Here is a 20,284-nt window from a genome sequence, read left to right as displayed (position 1 = left end):
CATCATCACTATCACTATTACCTCTACCATGATCATCACCTCCACCATCATTATCATCCTTATCAACATCATCATCACCATCACCATCATCATCATTATCATCATCTACCATCATTACCATCCTTCATCACCATTATCATCATTATCACCATTAGCTCTCCCATGGCTATCATCACTATCACCATCAGTATCACCTCCACCATCATTACCGTCATTGCTACCATCATCATCACCATCACCATTACCTCCATCATCATCACCACTATCACCACCACTCCTACCATGGTCATCACCACCAACGTAACCGTCATCATTTTTACCATCGTTATCATCATCACCATCACCATTATCTCCATCATCACCATCACTATCATCACAATCACCATCAGCACCGTCATCACCGTCATCACCATTATCTCCACCACTGTTGCTGTGAACGCATACTGCACTATTATCACCTGAGGTACAGTGACAACGTTGTGTGATGCTAAAATGTGAGCTTTTCTATCTGCCGATGATTCGGCCTTTGTCCCTCTCTCCTTCCCCTGCCTACTCCTCTGAGCAGTTCATGCACGTGGAATCCAGGTGGCTCCAAGACCTGCTGCACTGAAAAGGGACCAGGCCCTGCCTCGAGGCCAATCTGATTCTAGCACAGTTCCTGATCCCTGCATTTCATACCTGGGGCTTTCCAATGACGCTGGCTGTTCACAGAACAAGCAGTTCTATTCCCAGCCCCGAGGCAGCCTGTTCTGGGATCCTCACAGCTTTGACATCCAGGCCAAGCCAATCTGCCTCACAGGCCACCTGCGGGCTGTCCCTGGCTTCTGGATGCCCCTTTTCCTAGAACAGTCCAGGAAGTTCAGAGACGTGGTGATGACACGCTTTCTGTCCATGTCCCACTCCTGGAAGAGGCTCTGAAATGCTCCTGGAGTCTTCTGCCCTCTGGCCACGCATCCAGATGAGCCCGACAGCCACCGGGACCCCAGATTCCAGGGCACCCGCCTCACCTCCGCATGAAACCCCGACCATAACCCCGACAGCCACCGGGACCCCAGATTCCAGGGCACCCGCCTCACCTCCGCATGAAACCCCGACAGCCACCGGGACCCCAGATTCCAGGGCACCCGCCTCACCTCCGCATGAAACCCCGACCATCAACCATCCTTATCATCATCTCCACCCTCAAGTTCTCTGCTGTGCCCTGTGAGATGTCCCTTGGCCCATGAGGGGAGCAGAAAGAGTGCTTGCTGGGTGGCCCTAGGCCTCAGTTTCCCTTTCTGCAGAGTAAGAAGTGGGAGCAAGACGATCCCAGGGGGTCCCCAGGTGAGGGCGAGGGGAAGGGGGGAAATTTTTGCAGCCAGTAAACGCCTGAGAAGATCGGGTCTACTGGTGACAGCAGGAGGCAGCTGTGGCTTCAATCCCCTGGCCTAGCCACGCAGGCTTCTCAGAGCCAGGTGGCTCACAGGGGCTGCAACGGACACCTCAAGGGTTGCCAGAAGCCAGCAGTGCTGGACAGCCTGGGAAGACTGGGATGTTTCTCCCTGCACCTGCAAGGTTGAGAGGAGAGGGGCGTCCTCGGCGGAGACCAGCAGGCCGACTCTCACCTCGGCCAGGAGCCGCTCGGCCTCTCACCTCGGCCAGGAGCCGCTCAGCCTCCCTTCTGCACAGGGATCAGGAGGGGATGCTGCTGATTCAGCCCCCGGGAAAAAGGCTTTGGAAAAGTACTGAACCCTCTGCACGGAAGGGGACGAACTCGGCCGAAGCGGTCACCTGGCAGCCTCTCCTTCTTCCTGGGCGCCCTGACAGAAGGTATGCCAGGTGAGGAGGGCAGGTGACAGGCATGGTCTCCTTTTCCAGGAGTCAGGGTTTGAAATGTGGAAAGATGTTATCAGATCCAGCGGGGTTAGCCGAGCAGCAGAGCGTACCGTGGCTGGGGGAGACAGGGCAGTCGCCCAAATGTTTCCTGGAACAGGAATGGTCAGTCCAAAGCATGCTGGGAGCCCTGGGCCCAGGCCCAGAAGTCACAGTCCTCACCAGCATGGTCAGCCTGCCAGGAGACTACCAGCGAGTGGGACAGGTGGGCAGCCCCGTCCACCACTGACCCTCCATGCAGCCTAGGCCAGACAGACCGTCCCTCCCAGCAGCAAGCTGAGCTGACCGGCTGCTCCAGCAACTCCAAGGCCGCGGGCCCCACCCGAGCGGGAGGAGACGGCGCTGCCACTCAGGGAAGCGCCAGCTACCCAGGACCTCCTCGGCAGGGCTCAGGGAGGGGGTCTGGTTTTGCTTTTTATGTGACGATAAACAAAACATCACATTCGAAGAAGGAAATTATTAAAACAAACAAGCTGACTATGTGCAGGGTGGAATAGAACTTCACCTGCCCGGGGGTTGGGGGAGGTGCATTTGTCCTGAGACTCACACCTGCAGCCCCTCACGTGGACGTAGGTCTGGTTACTGCAACCCACACTCATGTCACGGGCTCCACTGGGCTGCAGGGTTGAGCTCACAGATCGGCAGTCCACGTGCGTCCGGCATTTCAGAAGGCGCCGGATACCCCAGACCGTGGAGGCAGAAGACACCAGCATGCTCAGTGTAAACAGTTTGAAAATGCCACAGCCTGGGCTCAGTGTAAACAGTTTGAAAATGCCACAGCCTGGGCTCAGTGTAAACAGTTTGAAAATGCCGCAGCCTGGGCTCAGTGTAAACAGTTTGAAAATGCCGCAGCCTGGGCTCAGTGTAAACAGTTTGAAAATGCCGCAGCCTGGGCTAACGTGATGTGACATTTCTCTCATTTTCAACACACAGGGAACTTCCGAGAAGCAAGTGGCCCGGGGCCCATTCCTGGCATGACTGTGGCCCATTCCCTGCCTAGCCCCACCCTGTCTGCCTAGCTGCAGGGTTGCAACGCAGCTGAGAGGGGTGCTGGCCTGAGGGCTCCTGGAAAGGGGGTGCTGAGGTCCCCATGAGACATGCAGTGCCGTGGGCTTCTCGGGACTCATCTCGGAGAAACGGCAGGGATGGGAGCTCGCTGGCCCACAGAGGGAGGGCCTGGGCTGGGGCTGTCCGTCCCAAACCTTCCACGTGACTCTGCCAGAAGGACAGCCTCAGAGCGGGAAGGACAGGGCAGATTTTCAACACCCGCCTTTCTGTTCTTCCTAAGTCACTCACTGAACTGTGCAGGAAGGAGCCACATGCTGAGGGCAGACACAGGGCCCGGGGATGCCCCGATGGTGCCGGGGACCACAGACCCCATGCAGCAGCTACTCCTCCCCAAGCACCTTCTCGGCAAAGCCTCCTGTGTCAGACACGAGAGACACCCACAGCCTGCGGCCCCAGAAGACCAGGGCTCAGAGGAGTCCCGGTCCTGGCACGCCGGCCCTGCCCTCGGCCAGCCACCCCCGATACAGGGAGTGGTCGGGGCCTGGGACCCCCCACCACTGCCTGTGAGGCGAGATCAAGCTGCACCCGGCCACGCCCAGCCTCAGTCGTGGGCAGCAAGGAAGACTTTTAAAGGCTGACTTCACAACTCCCGACTGGGCTTGTCGCCCTTGTAAAAGCCCAGCTGAGGAAAGAGGCCCAGGACGCAGCTCTGAGGTCAGCGTCCCACTGAGGGCACGAGGAGGGGGACTCGGCAGAACCGGGTGAAATCCTGGCGGCCGAGCCCGGGAAGGCTCTCGTGCTCTCCTCCTCACGAAGGAAGGCCCCACAGGCGTCACGCCTCCACTTGCCGGGACGGCCTCCCTGGGCCTCAAAGGGCACCAGAAAGGCAGGGGCAGGAAGGCAGCCCCCAGGGGGGCACTGAGCAGCCGTGATGCCCACATCTTCTGGGGTCTGCCCAGGACCAGTTCCCAGGAGCTGCCTGCAGCCCCCAACACCGTGCATCCTTCTCTCCCTCCCCCCAGAGCTGGCCACACCCAAACCCCTTCCCTTAGAAGGATTTCCCTCAGCTCTGAAAAACAACACAGGAGGTGTACTAATTGTGGTTATTCATACTAAAGTAGGAATGACGACTGAGCTGACCTCTCCCAGGCCTTTCGTGGCTGGCAGAATAACGGTCCCCCAAAGTTGTCCGCATCTGAACCCCAGGACCTGTGACTGCTGCCTCGCGTGGCGGGAGGCACAGTGCAGATGTGACTGAGGCTCTGGGGAAGGAGAGACCACAGCGTCCCTGCAAGAGGGGCCGAGGGAGACCTGACTTCAGAAGACGCTGCGCGGCCGGCTCTCAGGATGGAGGAGGGACCCCAGCCGCCAACGCAGGCGCCTCCAGGAGCCGGAAGGGCCAGGACACGGCTCCTCCCTGAGCCTCCCGGGGGAGCTCAGCCTGCACGTCCTTTTAGACCCCTGCACTCTGGGCTGGGAAGAGGATGCTTGTGTTGTCTGAAGACACTGCGTTTGCCGTGATTTGTTCCAGCAGCCAAGGAGGGGAATACAGGATACCCAGCCACACGAAGGCAGGGCAGATGGACACGGTGATTTAGTCCCAGCTGGAAAGGCTGTGAAATTACGACCTGTTTCCTCCAAATCCAGTCAGGCCATCAATGCTAAGGCTCATGACACTTAGAAAACCACACAGAATGATCGAGAGAAGGCACTGCTGTTCACAAAGGAGCCAGAGAGAGGGTGACAAACACCACACGTGCATCCCCGGGCCAGGCGACGCGTCCTCACGGGAGCCCCCATGGCTCTCGCGGCTGCCCCCATTTTAAAGACAAGGAAACCGAGGTCTGGAAGGAGACAGAGGCGTCTGCAGAATCGCACGGCCAGAACATGGCACAGCTTGGACGGGAACCAGGAGTCTGACTCAGGCCTGTGATCTTTTCTTCAGGGCCCTCCAAAAACCACACACCAGCTCCTGCTGTTCCGAACGTCCGTGTTTCCTCCCGGATCTGGGCCCCTCTCAGGAAGGCTGGGGCTGCAGGCCCAGAGGTCTGCAGAGGACCCATCCCTGGAGAGGTCCTGGCTCCAAGAGGATTCGTTGTTTCTCCGAAATCCAGGGCTCCTTAACAACTGTGGCTTCAGCGGGAGGGACACCACGCCGGGTGCCCCGTCCTGCAACGCACACGATCCCGGCACGGCCGAGGGGCCGGTCAGCCGCGGCGCTAGGCATTCCCGGAGCTGGCCCCTCCAACTGCTGTTAGGACCACGTGGCACCTTCTCATAGAACGGTTCCCACTGTTGCTGCTAACAAACATTTCAACGCTCTTCAGTTTGTGGGAAAATAGAAAACGTTTGCTTTGGTTAAAAATAGAGGAAACTGGCAGCTTATTACCAATGCCTATGAGGGACTAGAAGCCAACAGGGATGTGGCTCTCACTCTGAGCTAAGCGCTGTGCTAAGCTGTTTGAGTGAATTGATTCGCAAAACCTTCGGGACCCCCTGCTCTACAGTCACGGAGATGGCCAGTGCAGGCAGTGACCCAGGGCCACGCGTGCAGGTGTGAGGGTTGCTCTGTCCAGGGAGGAGACGGCTCTGTGGAGCCACGGGATGTCCCTGGACGGGGTCTGAGAGGTGGGGGGCTGGGCCGCGTTCTCTCCACTGGACACATGGGAGAACAGACAGGTAGCCACAAGGTCTGCTCACCCAGGGCCACCGACTCCCACCCTCTCCAGGTGGATGGGGAGTGGGGTGTCCCCCGAGGTTTTTCCAAGAAGCATTGCAGAGGAGGCAGCTCAGGGCGTCAGCAAAGAGCCACTGTCCTTCCTTGCTCCCGCTGCTACCCAGCTGGGCCGGCGGCCGAGCAGGGAAAGGGGCGTCCAGTCTGATGAGGGAGGCAGATGCCTTCCCCGGCTCAGCGTGTCCCACAAAGCAGGGACAGCCCGACGAGGCCGACGGAACGGATGCCGGGTCGGCGGCAGAGACCAACAGCAAACCATCAGGCGGAACCCTGGGCAGGGGCGGGTGCTGGGGCCGGAGGATGGAGTCCTTGGGTGTCCTGCTCAGCACAGAGGACCGCCCCAGGCCCCTGGGCACAGATGGGAAACTGAGGCCCAAAGAGGGGTGGGTCAAACACCAACCATTCATGCATTATGGAAAACCACCACCTCCCAAACCCTGCCAGACAGGCAGAAAAAGACCCGGTGCCTGAGAGGCCGTAAGAGCTGGGAAGCCTGCACACACCGCCAGGTGCCCACTCAGCCAGACGCACGCGCCCCTCACAGATGCTCCTCTGTGCCTAAGGCCTCCTGCTCACCCTCCTGGAAACAGGCAGGCAGCCTCCTGACCACACTTGGGCTTACCAAGAACACCATCCCCAGGCCAGGCCACACAGTGCAGCTGCTGGATGACCTCAGCCAGAACCCTCCTCCCACGGAGCCCTCCACGCCAGGACCCTCCTCCCACGGGGCCCTCGACGCCGGGACCCTCCTCCCACAGAGTCCTCCACGCCGGGACCCTCCTCCCACGGGGCCCTCCACGCCAGGACCCTCCTCCCACGCGGCCCTCGACGCCGGGACCCTCCTCCCACAGAGTCCTCCACGCCGGGACCCTCCTCCCATGGGGCCCCACTGATGCGTGTCATTCACCACCACCAAAGTGTCAGTCGACGTCTCCCGCCCCGGCCACCCCGGGCTCCCCGAACATGCTGCTGCTGCTCCTGCTCTGCCCTCCAGGGGTCCTCGCTGCCCCGGAACAGACCCCCCAGCGCACCCACTCCTGTCTCCCGTCTGCATGATGGTTGGGGTCGGCCACGCCAGCCTTCCTGATGCTTGGATGGGAGGGTCCTGCTGGGGCTGCTGCTCCTGCCTCTGTACTCGCTGCCCTGGCCTGGACCACCCTGGCCTGTGTCTTCCAGCATCATCTCCCAGGCCGTCTTTTCTTTCATAGCTCACTGCATCCTCAGCCTCCTGGGCTCAGGCGAAACTCCCACCTCAGCCTCCCGAGTAGCTGGGACTATAGGACCCACCGGGGTCCAGCAGCGGGTCCACACTGAAGCCAGGTTGATGTGGCGCTTTTCCCTTCATTTACTGGTAGGTATTATTCAGTATATTATTGAGAGCAGTAAACACACAGGACTCTTCCCTTCATTAACCGATAGGTATTATTCAGTATATTATTGAGAGCAGTAAACACACAGGAATTTTCCCTTCATTTACCAATAGGTATTATTCAGTATATTACTGAGGGCAGTAAACACACAGGACTTTCCATGTGCCAGGCTCTATCCTCAGAGCTTTCTGTATCGCGACTCATCTAATACCAGGCTCTATGGGGCAGGCGTTTTTCCACCGATTTTACAGATGGGAACACTGAATCGGGGAGACACCAAGGACCTGTCTGAGGTGGCCGGCCAGGGTGAGGCATGTGGACCAGACGGCCCGGCCACCCTCCATCCACCCACGGCCCCACAGGAGCCTCGTGAAGGGCTCCTGGTGTTCCGAACGCCGGGACACAGAGGTCCAGCCACGAGGCTCTGCTGTAATAAATAACCACAGACAGGGGCACTTTAAGCCACGGGGATCTGTTCCCCCCCCCCCCCACCCCGTCCTGGGGACAAGAAATGCAAGGCTGAGCTGTGGGCAGGGCTGAGCTCCCCGTGGAGACTCTAGGGAGGATCCTTCTTGCCTCTCCCAGCTCTGGGGGCTCCAGGAGCTCCTGGGCTTGTTACTGCAGCCCTGCATCCCCTTCCCTTGGCCTCCTCCTCTGCGTTTAATCTCCCTCCACCTCCCTCTTATGAGGACAGGGGATTGCATTTTGGGCCCAGGGAAAGTCCTCATCTCGAAGTCTTTAATTTAACCACACCTCCAAAGACCGCTTTTCCAAAGAAGGTGACATTTACAGGTTCCACGGCCGGGGCCCGAGATACTCGGGGCACCTTCCAGAGGGTCGCGGAAGCGGAAGCTGGTCCTTCCCCATCCCCCTACCCCATCTTTCTATCCCATTTCTCTTGGATTCCCTTCTCCAGGGCCAAACTCAGGGAGGCCCAAAACTAGATAAGACAGACACTTTCTTATTCCTCCAAACACACTAGATCCCTGACTCACTAAATGAAGGCACGGAGGCAAAAATTAGCCTTTCTATCTTGGGTAATCTTCTCATCACTCACACAGCAGAAAACCACCACCTGTCATTAGCGAGATATATTAAGCTGTTTAATACCAGGCTTTCAGCCGGCAGAGCTCTGGAAGGTGCGGGGCTCTCCCTGGCAGTGACTCCGGCACGACCTTTTGGTCCCCGAGTTCGCGGTCCACGCTTCCTGCCCATTTCTGCGTCACTTGTTCCAGCCCCGTGGGGTAGGTGTTTGGCAAAACGCGGCCGTCTTATTTAAAACCCCTGGCACCTTGCTCATCCCCCATCTGTCATTCTCACGATGTGCCACCGCTGTGGTCTGGACTGTTTGCGTGAGGACGGCGAGCTCTCCAGCCACAGGGCTGCAGGCAGGAGGGGCCCCATTGGGCTCGGCCAGGACCTGGACCAGCTGCAGCCAAGGCCTTCCCGCTCAACACAGGAGGTCTTTTTCAGCGGCCATGTGTGAGTCAGGAGAACTGGGAATGAGAATGGCACAGGGCCCAGGAAGGACCGGAGGGCGGCGATGTGCGGAATTATTTATACACCAGCCAGAACACATTGCAGCAAAGTTCCCAGAAAATGCATTCCTCACAGAAAAGGGGGCTGCCTCATTGCACGTGGAAGGAAACTCACTTCCCACACATCGGAGCCCAGACAATCCGCCTATTTCACACAAACCCGGAGGTGCTGAAGGTTATGACGAGACCTCATCTGGACGTGAAGGGCCCCTCCTGGGTGGGACATTTCCCTGCTTCTGGTCCTAGAGTGGCCCCCGTGGGGCTGACAGGGAGGCATCTTGGTGGTGGGGGGGTGGGGTGCGTGGGTGGGGCAGGGTGTGGCCCGACTACGGGTCCTGGTGTCGCTACTCACCCTGGCTGTGATCCCCATCCATGAACAAGATGCCTGGTGGGCGGTCTTGGAAGGGGCTCCCAGTGCTGAGTTTGAGGAGGAGGAATCCCCAGCGTGGGACCCTCCAGCCAGCATGCAGTTGTTACAGGTCAGGACTACAAACACGTTGAGGAGGCTGCCCGGGACCCCACTCATGCCGTCAGCAGGAGCCGTGAGAGTCGTGGCGTCTGTTCAGTCAGGTCACTCTTGGTGGAGGATGTGGGATGGACCCACAGGTGCCGTGGAGGCTGGCAGCTGTGCTGAGATGCTAAGGACCTCAGCTCCAGGCACCAGTTGTCCAAACCTGAGCTTCTTGTTGGGACAGGTCATTCCCCTGGCTCACACCGGCTCTGTGGAAACGCTGCCCTCAGAGGAGAGCTGGGGGTGTAGGCAGCGGGCGTCTCCCCTTCCACCCTCCACAGCCCCCATGGCAGTGTCAGCCTCTCACAGGGGAGGGACAGGGACACGGACCTGGCTTGTTGACCCCACACTGAGCCGTGACACCAGCCCCCTGGGTGGCCAGTCTTGGGGGTCTCCTCAACCCAGCAGAGGGGCCTGAGTCCTCACAGTCTGAGACAGCCACACTGACAAGAGCCCCTGTGATCTAAGGACTAGAGATTTCCAAGCTTTTCCAATGAACCTGCCTTCTTCGGAACCCATGGGGACAGGCAGCACTGAGCCAAGACCCTGCCCAGGGCAGGGGTCGCCTACTGACCTATCTTTTATTTTCTCAGAATTTCTCTGATTGGCCACGGGCCTCATCACAACCATGCCAGGCGGATGGCTTTCCCCCCTGGTGTTTCGTTACGCAGGCACAGGCCTGTGCGCCTGACTGAGCCCGCCGTCCCCCATCAGCTCTGACGGGTCGCTGTGGTGCGGCTAAAGGGCTTCAGAACCATTCAGGTGAACCCTAGGACCCTCCTAACCGGCCCCAGGTACCCCTCCCGGGTCTGCAGGAAACCTCTGCGCCAGCTCTTCAACGTGAGACACAGAAGAAGGAGAGAATCATTTCTTTGGCTGGAAAATCATCTCAGAAGAGGCTCTTCAACCTCTTACGGTCAATTTAATGAAAATCCATTTTAAAATGATTCAGTGATTTGCAACTGTAAAAGTCTGAAGTCATTTCCACTTGAAAACAATTGCGATGGTTTAGACTTTATTTCAAAAGCAAACGGGGAAAAAGAATTGCTTGAAAGTCTCAGACCCACTGTAGTTTTAAACACGCTACTGTCGGCTCATCCAGTATTCATGGACAGGACTCAGGGAAGTACGACTAGACTGGAAATGAACGCGGGCTCCCCGGTAGCCTGAAAACACAGGTGCAGACATCTTTCCTATGAAACCCTTGTGATGCTTCCTTTCATTTCAAAGTAATAAAAGGGTAAGCTGCTACTAACTACTAAACCAGGATTAAATATTGAGCACCAAGGTTACTGTTACAATCTTGTTTTTCCTCCGTGGAGCCCTAGATGTTTAAAAAAAACATCAGTAAGAAAAATAAACTAAATGCATAGTTAGGGGCTAGTGTTTGAGCCCGTTCTCTGCTTGTCTAAGGAGATCTTAAATCTGCAGTTTCCTTTTTTGGCATTAAAAACAACCAGACCTGAGCAAACTGCTTTTGAATGAAATCCCCTGGCTTCCATTTTCGTCCCCAGTACGAGGAAAATGAAGGCCATATTTTCTTTCCCGTCCTTTTAATCTTCCCTCCCTTTCGTGACAATTAGAACGATGGCCCACACACTAGCGGCACCCCGGCGACCGTCATAACTGGAGAAAATACAAAAAGACCCTCGATATTGCCGTTCTGGGGAATGCTTTTGGAAAAAAAAAATGACTTTCCTTGATTTTCAACAAATGGGGTAATCTTTTCCAGGAGACCCCACGGAAACACACATCCTCAGTCGGCCAGGGTCGGACGGCCTGGGGAGGCTGAGAAGGCCTAATCGGAACAGCCGAGGGGAGGGTGCCAGTGTGGGCTTGGACGGCTGCAGGGACGGGCCTCAGCTTCCCCATCGGTAAAGTGGGTGCAGGGCCCAGAACCGCACTCTCTGAGGGTTTTGCTGTTTTTACCATTTATTCATTTCCCTGTCAGATTCTCTGCAATGGTTACATAATTGTTAATAATTTCCTTTTACTTATTAAGCAAAGAAATGTCTAGCTGCCAGGTGAGGGCAGGAGAAGACAGCTACCTTCTGTGGCCAGCCTCAGTTGATGTAACTTTGGCCACCAGTAAATCATCAGGGTGTCTGGACAAGCCAAAGTGACCTCAGAGGCCAGAGGCTCCAGCCCGGGCGGATTCGGGCCTGTCGTGGGCAGTGGGGTGGAGCGGCCGCCTGTGCCCGTCCCCACAGACCTGCGAGAGGGTGGAGTCTCTTAACACCACCTGGTATCGGGGCCACGACCGGGGGGCACACGGGGCCACCTGAGAGGCCCAGCCGGGCGGCCGTGTGGCTGCGGGACAGCGACTCCCTCCTCCCTGAGCCTTGGGCCCTCGTCCTTGGCTGGTAAGCGCTGGGACTCTTGTGAGGGTGACTAGGCCTTGTGGCACGCCCCTCTGAGTCAGCCCATGCAGGAGACACGCTGTTAACGTTGATCTGTTTTCAAACCTTCCACCCCCTGCACTGTGACCCTCCAGGGCCCCTCCTAGCCGGTCTTCTCCAGGGACTCAGACAGCTTAGCCGGTCACGAGGCAGAGGAAGGGAATCCGTCCTCTGTGGTGGGACATGGGGTGCGTGGACACCAAGAGGGCGGCCTGCAGTGGGCCCAGGCTGAACCCAGTGGGTTTGGGAGGTGCAGCTCCTTCTCCAAAGGCCTCCATCGCACTCCAGGCCACACACCCTAGCAGGTCAGGTGAGCCCTGGTGTCTGACCCCCAAGATCACCCCTGCTTCTTCTCCCATCCGGTCTCATGGAACTCAGTGAAACCCAGGTTGTTCTGCGCAATGAGAGAAGGCTCAGGGGACAGCCGCCGTGCGACCCCATGAGGGTGCCATTCTGCGCAATGAGAGAAGGCTCAGGGGACAGCCGCCGTGCGACCCCGTGACGGTGCCATTCTGCTCAGTGAGAGAAGACTCAGGGGACAGCCGCCATGCGACCCCCGTGACGGTGCCATTCTGCGCAATGAGAGAAGGCTCAGGGGACAGCCGCCGTGCGACCCCGTGACGGTGCCATTCTGCTCAGTGAGAGAAGACTCAGGGGACAGCCGCCATGCGACCCCCGTGACGGTGCCATTCTGCGCAATGAGAGAAGGCTCAGGGGACAGCCGCCGTGCGACCCCGTGACGGTGCCGTTCTGCTCAGTGAGAGAAGGCTCAGGGGACAGCCGCCATGCGACCCCCGTGACGGTGCCATTCTGCGCAATGAGAGAAGGCTCAGGGGACAGCCGCCATGCGACCCCCGTGACGGTGCCATTCTGCGCAATGAGAGAAGGCTCAGGGGACAGCCGCCGTGCGACCCCGTGACGGTGCCATTCTGCTCAGTGAGAGAAGGCTCAGGGGACAGCCGCCGTGCGACCCCGTGACGGTGCCATTCTGCTCAGTGAGAGAAGGCTCAGGGGACAGCCGCCGTGCGACCCCGTGACGGTGCCGTTCTGCTCAGTGAGAGAAGGCTCAGGGGACAGCCGCCATGCGACCCCCGTGACGGTGCCATTCTGCGCAATGAGAGAAGGCTCAGGGGACAGCCGCCGTGCGACCCCGTGACGGTGCCATTCTGCTCAGTGAGAGAAGACTCAGGGGACAGCCGCCATGCGACCCCCGTGACGGTGCCATTCTGCGCAATGAGAGAAGGCTCAGGGGACAGCCGCCGTGCGACCCCGTGACGGTGCCGTTCTGCTCAGTGAGAGAAGGCTCAGGGGACAGCCGCCATGCGACCCCCGTGACGGTGCCATTCTGCGCAATGAGAGAAGGCTCAGGGGACAGCCGCCATGCGACCCCCGTGACGGTGCCATTCTGCGCAATGAGAGAAGGCTCAGGGGACAGCCGCCGTGCGACCCCGTGACGGTGCCATTCTGCTCAGTGAGAGAAGGCTCAGGGGACAGCCGCCGTGCGACCCCGTGACGGTGCCATTCTGCTCAGTGAGAGAAGGCTCAGGGGACAGCCGCCGTGCGACCCCGTGACGGTGCCGTTCTGCTCAGTGAGAGAAGGCTCAGGGGACAGCCGCCATGCGACCCCCGTGACGGTGCCATTCTGCGCAATGAGAGAAGGCTCAGGGGACAGCCGCCGTGCGACCCCGTGACGGTGCCATTCTGCTCAGTGAGAGAAGGCTCAGGGGACAGCCGCCATGCGACCCCGTGACGGTGCCATTCTGCTCAGTGAGAGAAGGCTCAGGGGACAGCCGCCATGCGACCCCCGTGACGGTGCCATTCTGCGCAATGAGAGAAGGCTCAGGGGACAGCCGCCGTGCGACCCCGTGACGGTGCCATTCTGCTCAGTGAGAGAAGGCTCAGGGGACAGCCGCCATGCGACCCCCGTGACGGTGCCATTCTGCGCAATGAGAGAAGGCTCAGGGGACAGCCGCCGTGCGACCCCGTGAGGGTGCCGTTCTGCTCAGTGAGAGAAGGCTCAGGGGACAGCCGCCATGTGACCCCGTGACAGTGCCGTTCTGCTCCGTGAGAGAAGGCTCAGGGGACAGCCGCCGTGCGACCCCCGTGACGGTGCCATTCTGCTCCGTGAGAGAAGGCTCAGGGGACAGCCGCCATGCGACCCCGTGACAGTGCCGTTCTGCTCCGTGAGAGAAGGCTCAGGGGACAGCCGCCGTGCGACCCCGTGACGGTGCCGTTCTGCTCCGTGAGAGAATGCTCAGGGGACAGCCGCTGTGAGACCCCCGTGAGGGTGCCGTTCTGCTCTGTGAGAGAAGGCTCAGGGGACAGCCGCCGTGCGACCCTGTGACGGTGCCATTCTGCGCAATGAGAGAAGGCTCAGGGGACAGCCGCCGTGCGACCCCCGTGATGGTGCTGGCGGGCCGGGAGCCCGGGGCAGACACAGGACGGTCCTGGGGTGGAGGGCCGGGCAGGCTCAGGGGTCCCAGGTGCCCCTCAGGGGCAGCACCCATTCAGCCTCCTCGTCCTTCTGTGCTTCTGAGATGCCTGGGGCAGGGGACCCCATAGAGTCTCTCGAAAGCTCATTTCAGGATTGTTCTTCAAATGAAAAAAGTTCATTTTTCTTCTGACTATAAAAATAAGCCAGGAAACTGGAAGCAACGTGAACGTCCTCTACCTGGGGCCGGCAAGGCCAATGCCGGGACCACCTGCGGCATCCGCGTAAGGGCCCCTCCCTGTGACTGCAGCTGCAGGCTGACCCCTCTGCAGGCACCAGGTGCCGTCCCCACGGGGCTCGGTGCAGCAGCCGGGACGCCCCACACACAGACGAGCCGGCTGCAGACGTCACTTGCAGGGACATGTCCGCCCCACGGCATCTGCCCCACCATGTGCCCGCCTGCCCCTCTGCTCCTCCTGCATCCTTTGCAGTGGTTGCCTCTGCGAGGCCCACAGCCACCAGGACAGCCCCGGAGAGCGAGACAGACGGGCTCCTTGGCCTCTACCCCGGCAGGCTCTGTGATCATTCACTTGCTCAGAACCACACATCGAGCCCCTGCTATGTGGCTAGTGCTGCGGACACAATGCTGAGCTAAGACTCAGCACCCACCCGCCGTGGAGCCTGCAGCCCAGCGGACGATCTGACAACACGGAAATCCCCACGTCTCCATCCCTGTGAGGCTGGGACAGCTGTACACGCCCACACTTCAGGCTTTGGACAGAAGGGAGCTCGCCCCAGGCCCTCTCACTGAGAACTGGGGACCAGCCCTGGTCCCATCTGCCCTTCATAGGAACACACACGGGTTCCATTCATACACACGTGCACACTCCCCCACATTCACATAAGCCTACACACACGTGCATGAGTGTGCACACACACGCCCTCACATACACATGCACGGGCACACACACGTACAGATGCCCACACATGCACCCACACAGCACCTGCATGACAACAGATGAACGCCCTCACACACACATGCACACGTGTGTACACACACCCACACATGCACACCCTTACACACGTTACACATGTACACGTCACACACGCACACCGACACGTGCACCCACACAGGACATGCATGCACACACATGCCCTTACACACTCATACACATGCATACACAGGCAATGCACACCCACACGCTCACCTACTCATACACATGAGCACATGCTCATGCCCACCCCCAGCACCAAGCAGCACTCCAGGCACTCTGCCTGCCACGGTGCTGCCTCCCCTTGTGCTGGGCTGCTCTCCAGCCTTTGGTTGGCACCTCAGGGCCCCTCACTTCCGCTCTCCAGCCTTTGGTTGGCACCTCAGGGCCTGTCCCTTCACCTCTTGCTGGGATCCTGGCCCCAGGGTCTCAGAGCCCCCAGGAGGGGCAGGGCCTCCGTGGACACCTGTGCACTCCCCTCTCAGTGCCAGCCCTGGGCCTGGGGGGTTCAGGCCGTTCTTCACCAGGCATCTGCTTCCTGAGCCTGTGCCAGGGCAATCCACTCCCTTACTGAGGGCCTGCAAGTCTGGGGACCACAGTGGGGGCTGACGGTGACCCCAGCTGCTCTCAGTACCCAACTGCAGCACTGGGCTCCTCTGGACACCCAAGTCCCTCCATCCTCACTGCCGGGGGCTGGACCAGGCCTGCCCTGACTCTCACAGGGCGCTCACTCTCCACTGACCCATAACACCCACTGAGAAGCTTTCTAAGAAACAAAACACAACAGCACAGCTGCCCTGGACCTCCAGACATCCCTGCGTGGCCTCCAGCCCTGCCCTGTCTCCTGACTTGCGCACTTCTGGCTCCCCACAGGCCCCTCCCTCCCGGGTGCCCAGATGCTAAGAACGGCTCCTGCAGCCCCCTGCCCTGCTGGAGACGAGGCTCCGCCCTGTGCCCAGATGCTAAGAACGGCTCCTGCAGCCCCCTGCCCTGCTGGAGACGAGGCTCCACCCTGTGCCCAGATGCTAAGAACGGCTCCTGCAGCCCCCTGCCCTGCTGGAGACGAGGCTCCGCCCTGTGCCCAGATGCTAAGGACGGCTCCTGCAGCCCCCTGCCCTGCTGGAGACGAGGCTCCGCCCTGTGCCCAGATGCTAAGGACGGCTCCTGCAGCCCCCTGCCCTGCTGGAGACGAGGCTCCGCCCTGTGCCCAGATGCTAAGAACGGCTCCTGCAGCCCCCTGCCCTGCTGGAGACGAGGCTCCGCCCTGTGCCCAGATGCTAAGAACGGCTCCTGCAGCCCCCTGCCCTGCTGGAGACGAGGCTCCGCCCTGTGCCCAGATGCTAAGAACGGCTCCTGCAGCCCCCTGCCCTGCTGGAGACGAGGCTCCGCCCTGTGCCCAGATGCTAAGAACGGCTCCTGCAGCCCCCTGCCCTGCTGGAGACGAGGCTCCGCCCTGTGCCCAGATGCTAAGAACGGCTCCTGCAGCCCCCTGCCCTGCTGGAGACGAGGCTCCGCCCTGTGCCCAGATGCTAAGAACGGCTCCTGCAGCCCCCTGCCCTGCTGGAGACGAGCCTCCGCCCTGTGCCCAGATGCTAAGAACGGCTCCTGCAGCCCCCTGCCCTGCTGGAGACGAGGCTCCGCCCTGTGCCCAGATGCTAAGGACGGCTCCTGCAGCCCCCTGCCCTGCTGGAGACGAGGCTCCGCCCTGTGCCCAGATGCTAAGGACGGCTCCTGCAGCCCCCTGCCCTGCTGGAGACGAGGCTCCGCCCTGTGCCCAGATGCTAAGAACGGCTCCTGCAGCCCCCTGCCCTGCTGGAGACGAGGCTCCGCCCTGTGCCCAGATGCTAAGAACGGCTCCTGCAGCCCCCTGCCCTGCTGGAGACGAGGCTCCGCCCTGTGCCCAGATGCTAAGAACGGCTCCTGCAGCCCCCTGCCCTGCTGGAGACGAGGCTCCGCCCTGTGCCCAGATGCTAAGAACGGCTCCTGCAGCCCCCTGCCCTGCTGGAGACGAGCCTCCGCCCTGTGCCCAGATGCTAAGAACGGCTCCTGCAGCCCCCTGCCCTGCTAGAGACGAGGCTCCGCCCTGTGCCCTGGGCCCACCATCCGGGCTCTCACTTCTCAGGCATGGGAGGCCTCCTGTCCTTGCTCCCCAGGGCGTGACGGCTGGGTGCCCAGGGAAAATGCAGCTGACCGCCCCAGGCCTCCTATGCTCGAGCACCAGATGACCTGCCCACCACGTGGAGCTTCCTGTGTGCACGGGTCCCGCCCTCCCTCCGGCCTCTCTCCCCTGCACACGTGGCCAGCACAGGCCCTTGCAGGAATGTTCCTCTCCAGACCGCCCCCTGCTGCCGACCATGCCATTCAGGTCTCAGCTCCAACGCCGCCTCCTAGGACTTCCCCAGGCGGTGCCTACACAGAGGTCATGCTTAACTCAGTTTGTGGGAGAGACCCCAGAAGGTCAGTGGAACAACGCCCCCTTCACCAAGCCCGTCTCTGCCATGCTCCTTCGTTTCAGTCCCTCCACGCATCACCCCTCTCTGAAACGTTCCTGCGTATTTGTTCACGTGCGTTGACCACGCCCCCCGGGAATTTAAGCTCCACTTGAGGTGGGAACCTGCGTGAGCAGCATCCCCAGCCACAGCAGGCGCCCAGTGGGTGGGCCCAGCGACTCTGCTGGGCAGGGCAGGGGTGAGAGGAGAATGGACTTGGCCTCTGCTCAAGGGCCTAATTTCCTGAGTTTATAAGGGACAGGCTCTCAGGCAGGACCCAGGAGGCCACTTCCATGCCAGGAGCCAGCAGCTCTGGGCACAGGGACCCCACCACAGCGAGGGCAGCATGTGGGGGTCCCGGCAGCTTCCAATGAGGTGGATCAACCTTCCTGCAAGGGGTCTTGGCTTGGCTTCCCCCAGGGAGTCAGCAGGAGCTCCTGAGTGCCAGGCAGCTTTGCCCAGCCAGACCCAGGGTGAGGAGCGGGCTTGGAGGCCGGCCCACACCCAGTGTGGACACAAAGGGGTCCTTGTCCAGGTCTGGTCAGGCCCAGGCCTCTGCTGGGTCCACACCCACCCAGCCCATTGGGCAATCTGTTTGCCTTTGGAACCGGTGAGGCCACAGTGGAGAGAAACATGAATTTTTATCAGCAGAACAGAAAATCCTTCGAAATTCCAAACCGATCCCTCACTGGTCCTCAAAACCATTTTGTTTCCCCGAGCCTTAGTTCATGGGCTCTAGGAGAAGAGCCAGTGTGAGCCCAGCTCCCCTGCCCTCCCCGTCCTTACCCCGGCCCTGGAGGCCAGGTCCCTGCCTGGCAGGATTCACCCAGGAGTCTCTGCAGGACACCCTGGGCTGACTGCTGGACAGTCCTCTTGGCCAGAATTGCTTTTCCTGTGGCTCCCAAGGCCTTCAGCCAAGGCCCCAGGAGGGGTCTGCACAGCCACAGCCGAGGCACCTCCTGCTGCTTCAGGTACCGGATTCGAAGCCAAGCCCCCACTCTGAGAGGGAACGCGCCTCCCTCAGACCCCGCCGACAGCCCTGGCTGGGCGTTGCTGTCCCGGGCTGGCCATTGCTGTCCTGGGCTGGGCGTTGCTGTCCTGGGCTGGCCATTGCTGTCCTGGGCTGGGCGTTGCTGTCCTGGGCTGGGCGTTGCTGTCCTGGGCTGGGTGTCCTTCACTTTTCATCCATGCACTCAGCAAGCACGGACTGTGCACATTCACGGTGGGGTTCATGCAGCGACCCCAGCCCCTCCCCCCATTCTCCACCTGTTCACCTGCCCAGCCCTGGACAACAAAGTCACATGCTCCCCTCAAACCTCGCCCCAGGTGGAGCCTGGCTTCCTGCATCACGGAGAAGGGACAAGAACCGCAGAAGGCAACCGTGCCTCCAAACACCACCACCACCCATGGTGACGACCCCAGGAGGGGCCAGCCTCTGTGCGGTGGGGAGCACTGGGGAACCCTCACTTTATGTCCTGTCTGAGCCACTAACAGGTTCTGAGCAAGTCCCGTCCATGCCACTGGGTTTGGGCTGGACCAGAGTGATCTGTCCGTCCTGGGCCCGTGTCAGCTCCCGGCCGGACGGGAGTGATCTGTGCGTCCTGGGCCCGTGTCAGCTCCCGGCCGGACAGGAGTGATCTGTGCGTCCTGGGCCCGTGTCAGCTCCCGGCCGGACCGGAGTGATCTGTGCGTCCTGGGCCCGTGTCAGCTCCCGGCCGGACGGGAGTGATCTGTGCGTCCTGGGCCTGTGTCAGCTCCTGTCACCTCTCCCACCTCGGTTTCCCAGTCTATACTAATCAATAAGCATTGGCTGAGTGAGCCCTGGGATGGAGGAGTGACCAGCCCTGTCCTCGGCTGGGCCACGTGGTGGACACGGGTCATGTCCAGAGAGCCAGGAGGCGTCAGAGCGGTGGTGAGGCCGCACAACGATGCCCACACACTTGTCACTCAGACCCTGCCCCGCCCTCCCTCTGACCAGGCTTGGAGCTTGGCGTCCCGGCCTCCCTTCAGCTCCCCGGCTGGGCCACGAGCTTACCAGGACATTGAGCAGGTCGTGCAGTCCCGTCAGAGGGGCCACACCCGAGGGTCAGTGCGGGTGAACTGAGGAGGCAGCACGCAGCGCGGCACTGGACGGAGGCCCCGCAGGACACACGGAGGGACCCTCCAGGACGGGAGCACCGGAAAGGGGCCCCGGCTGCCAGGAAGTGCTGAGCCCAGGCCTGCAGGGCGAGGAGCTGCCGGAAAGGCCCCACAGCCACGTGGTGAACACCTAAATACTTTGCTTCATTGAGAAAAGCAGCCAGTGTGGTTGTGGCTGGGCTTGAGCTGCCGGGTGAACGCTGTGGCCTGCCTGGCAGCTCGTGTGACCCCGTTTCACAGACGAGGAGGCTGAGGCCCGGGGAAGTTCGAGAGCCAGCCCACAGGCAGCAGGCCTGAGCGTCCAACCCCTACCCCACCACTCCTGGCCTCACACGTCCTGCTAACAAAGCATCCCGGGGCCGACGGGGACGGGCAGCCCTCGGCCCACTGTACAGGACCCCAGGTAGCTTATCGAACAGGAACATCAATAGAACATCAATTAAAGAGCAGCTGCACCTCCTCTCCCAGCCAACGTGCACCACCATCAGCCAGGCCCCTCTTCCTCTGAGGGTGGCCGTTACGGCCAGCCCCAGCCAGGCGCTCATCGAACCTCTCAGTCCTCTCCTCGTACAAATGGAAAGCTTTGCAGTGACGCGCGGGCCCCGGGTCATTGTTCTCCCGTCTTTCTTATTAATATTGCATCTGTTTTGCCCTCTCTGGACGTGGCCACGTGGGACTGCAGAGAACCCTCAGGGCACCTCTGCCTGGCCCTAGACATGGGTGCGAGAAAGGCCTCAGAAGCCGCTTCAGGGAAAGCCGGCACCTCTCTAGGGCCGCCCTGCACCAGGCAGCTGTCTGCCA

At 60.4% G+C, this 20,284-nt stretch overlaps 1 protein-coding gene across 4 annotated transcripts in view, besides 4 other annotated features; it reads right to left on the bottom strand.

The window, feature by feature from the left end:
- FAM20C (FAM20C golgi associated secretory pathway kinase) overlaps nucleotides 1-20,284 on the bottom strand; it is a 68,202-nt gene that overhangs the window by 22,926 nt on the left and 24,992 nt on the right. The gene's annotated exons all lie outside the window — the stretch shown is intronic.
- Nucleotides 11,267-11,767: an enhancer, noted in NCBI's record as "H3K4me1 hESC enhancer chr7:226080-226580 (GRCh37/hg19 assembly coordinates)". NCBI's record gives its function as "activates a minimal SCP1, AML or CMV promoter by ChIP-STARR-seq in primed H9 embryonic stem cells {active_cell/tissue: H9 hESC(primed)}" and the evidence as "EXISTENCE:reporter gene assay evidence [ECO:0000049][PMID:30033119]".
- Nucleotides 15,522-16,515: an enhancer, noted in NCBI's record as "H3K27ac-H3K4me1 hESC enhancer chr7:221332-222325 (GRCh37/hg19 assembly coordinates)". NCBI's record gives its function as "activates a minimal SCP1, AML or CMV promoter by ChIP-STARR-seq in primed H9 embryonic stem cells {active_cell/tissue: H9 hESC(primed)}" and the evidence as "EXISTENCE:reporter gene assay evidence [ECO:0000049][PMID:30033119]".
- Nucleotides 16,516-17,510: an enhancer, noted in NCBI's record as "H3K27ac-H3K4me1 hESC enhancer chr7:220337-221331 (GRCh37/hg19 assembly coordinates)". NCBI's record gives its function as "activates a minimal SCP1, AML or CMV promoter by ChIP-STARR-seq in primed H9 embryonic stem cells {active_cell/tissue: H9 hESC(primed)}" and the evidence as "EXISTENCE:reporter gene assay evidence [ECO:0000049][PMID:30033119]".
- Nucleotides 18,505-19,500: an enhancer, noted in NCBI's record as "H3K27ac-H3K4me1 hESC enhancer chr7:218347-219342 (GRCh37/hg19 assembly coordinates)". NCBI's record gives its function as "activates a minimal SCP1, AML or CMV promoter by ChIP-STARR-seq in primed H9 embryonic stem cells {active_cell/tissue: H9 hESC(primed)}" and the evidence as "EXISTENCE:reporter gene assay evidence [ECO:0000049][PMID:30033119]".

The sequence above is a fragment of the Homo sapiens genome, chromosome 7 (genome assembly GCF_000001405.40).
Source record: "Homo sapiens chromosome 7, GRCh38.p14 Primary Assembly".
Classification (NCBI taxonomy): Eukaryota; Metazoa; Chordata; class Mammalia; order Primates; family Hominidae; genus Homo; species Homo sapiens.
This window is presented reverse-complemented; position numbering and strand designations above follow the sequence as displayed.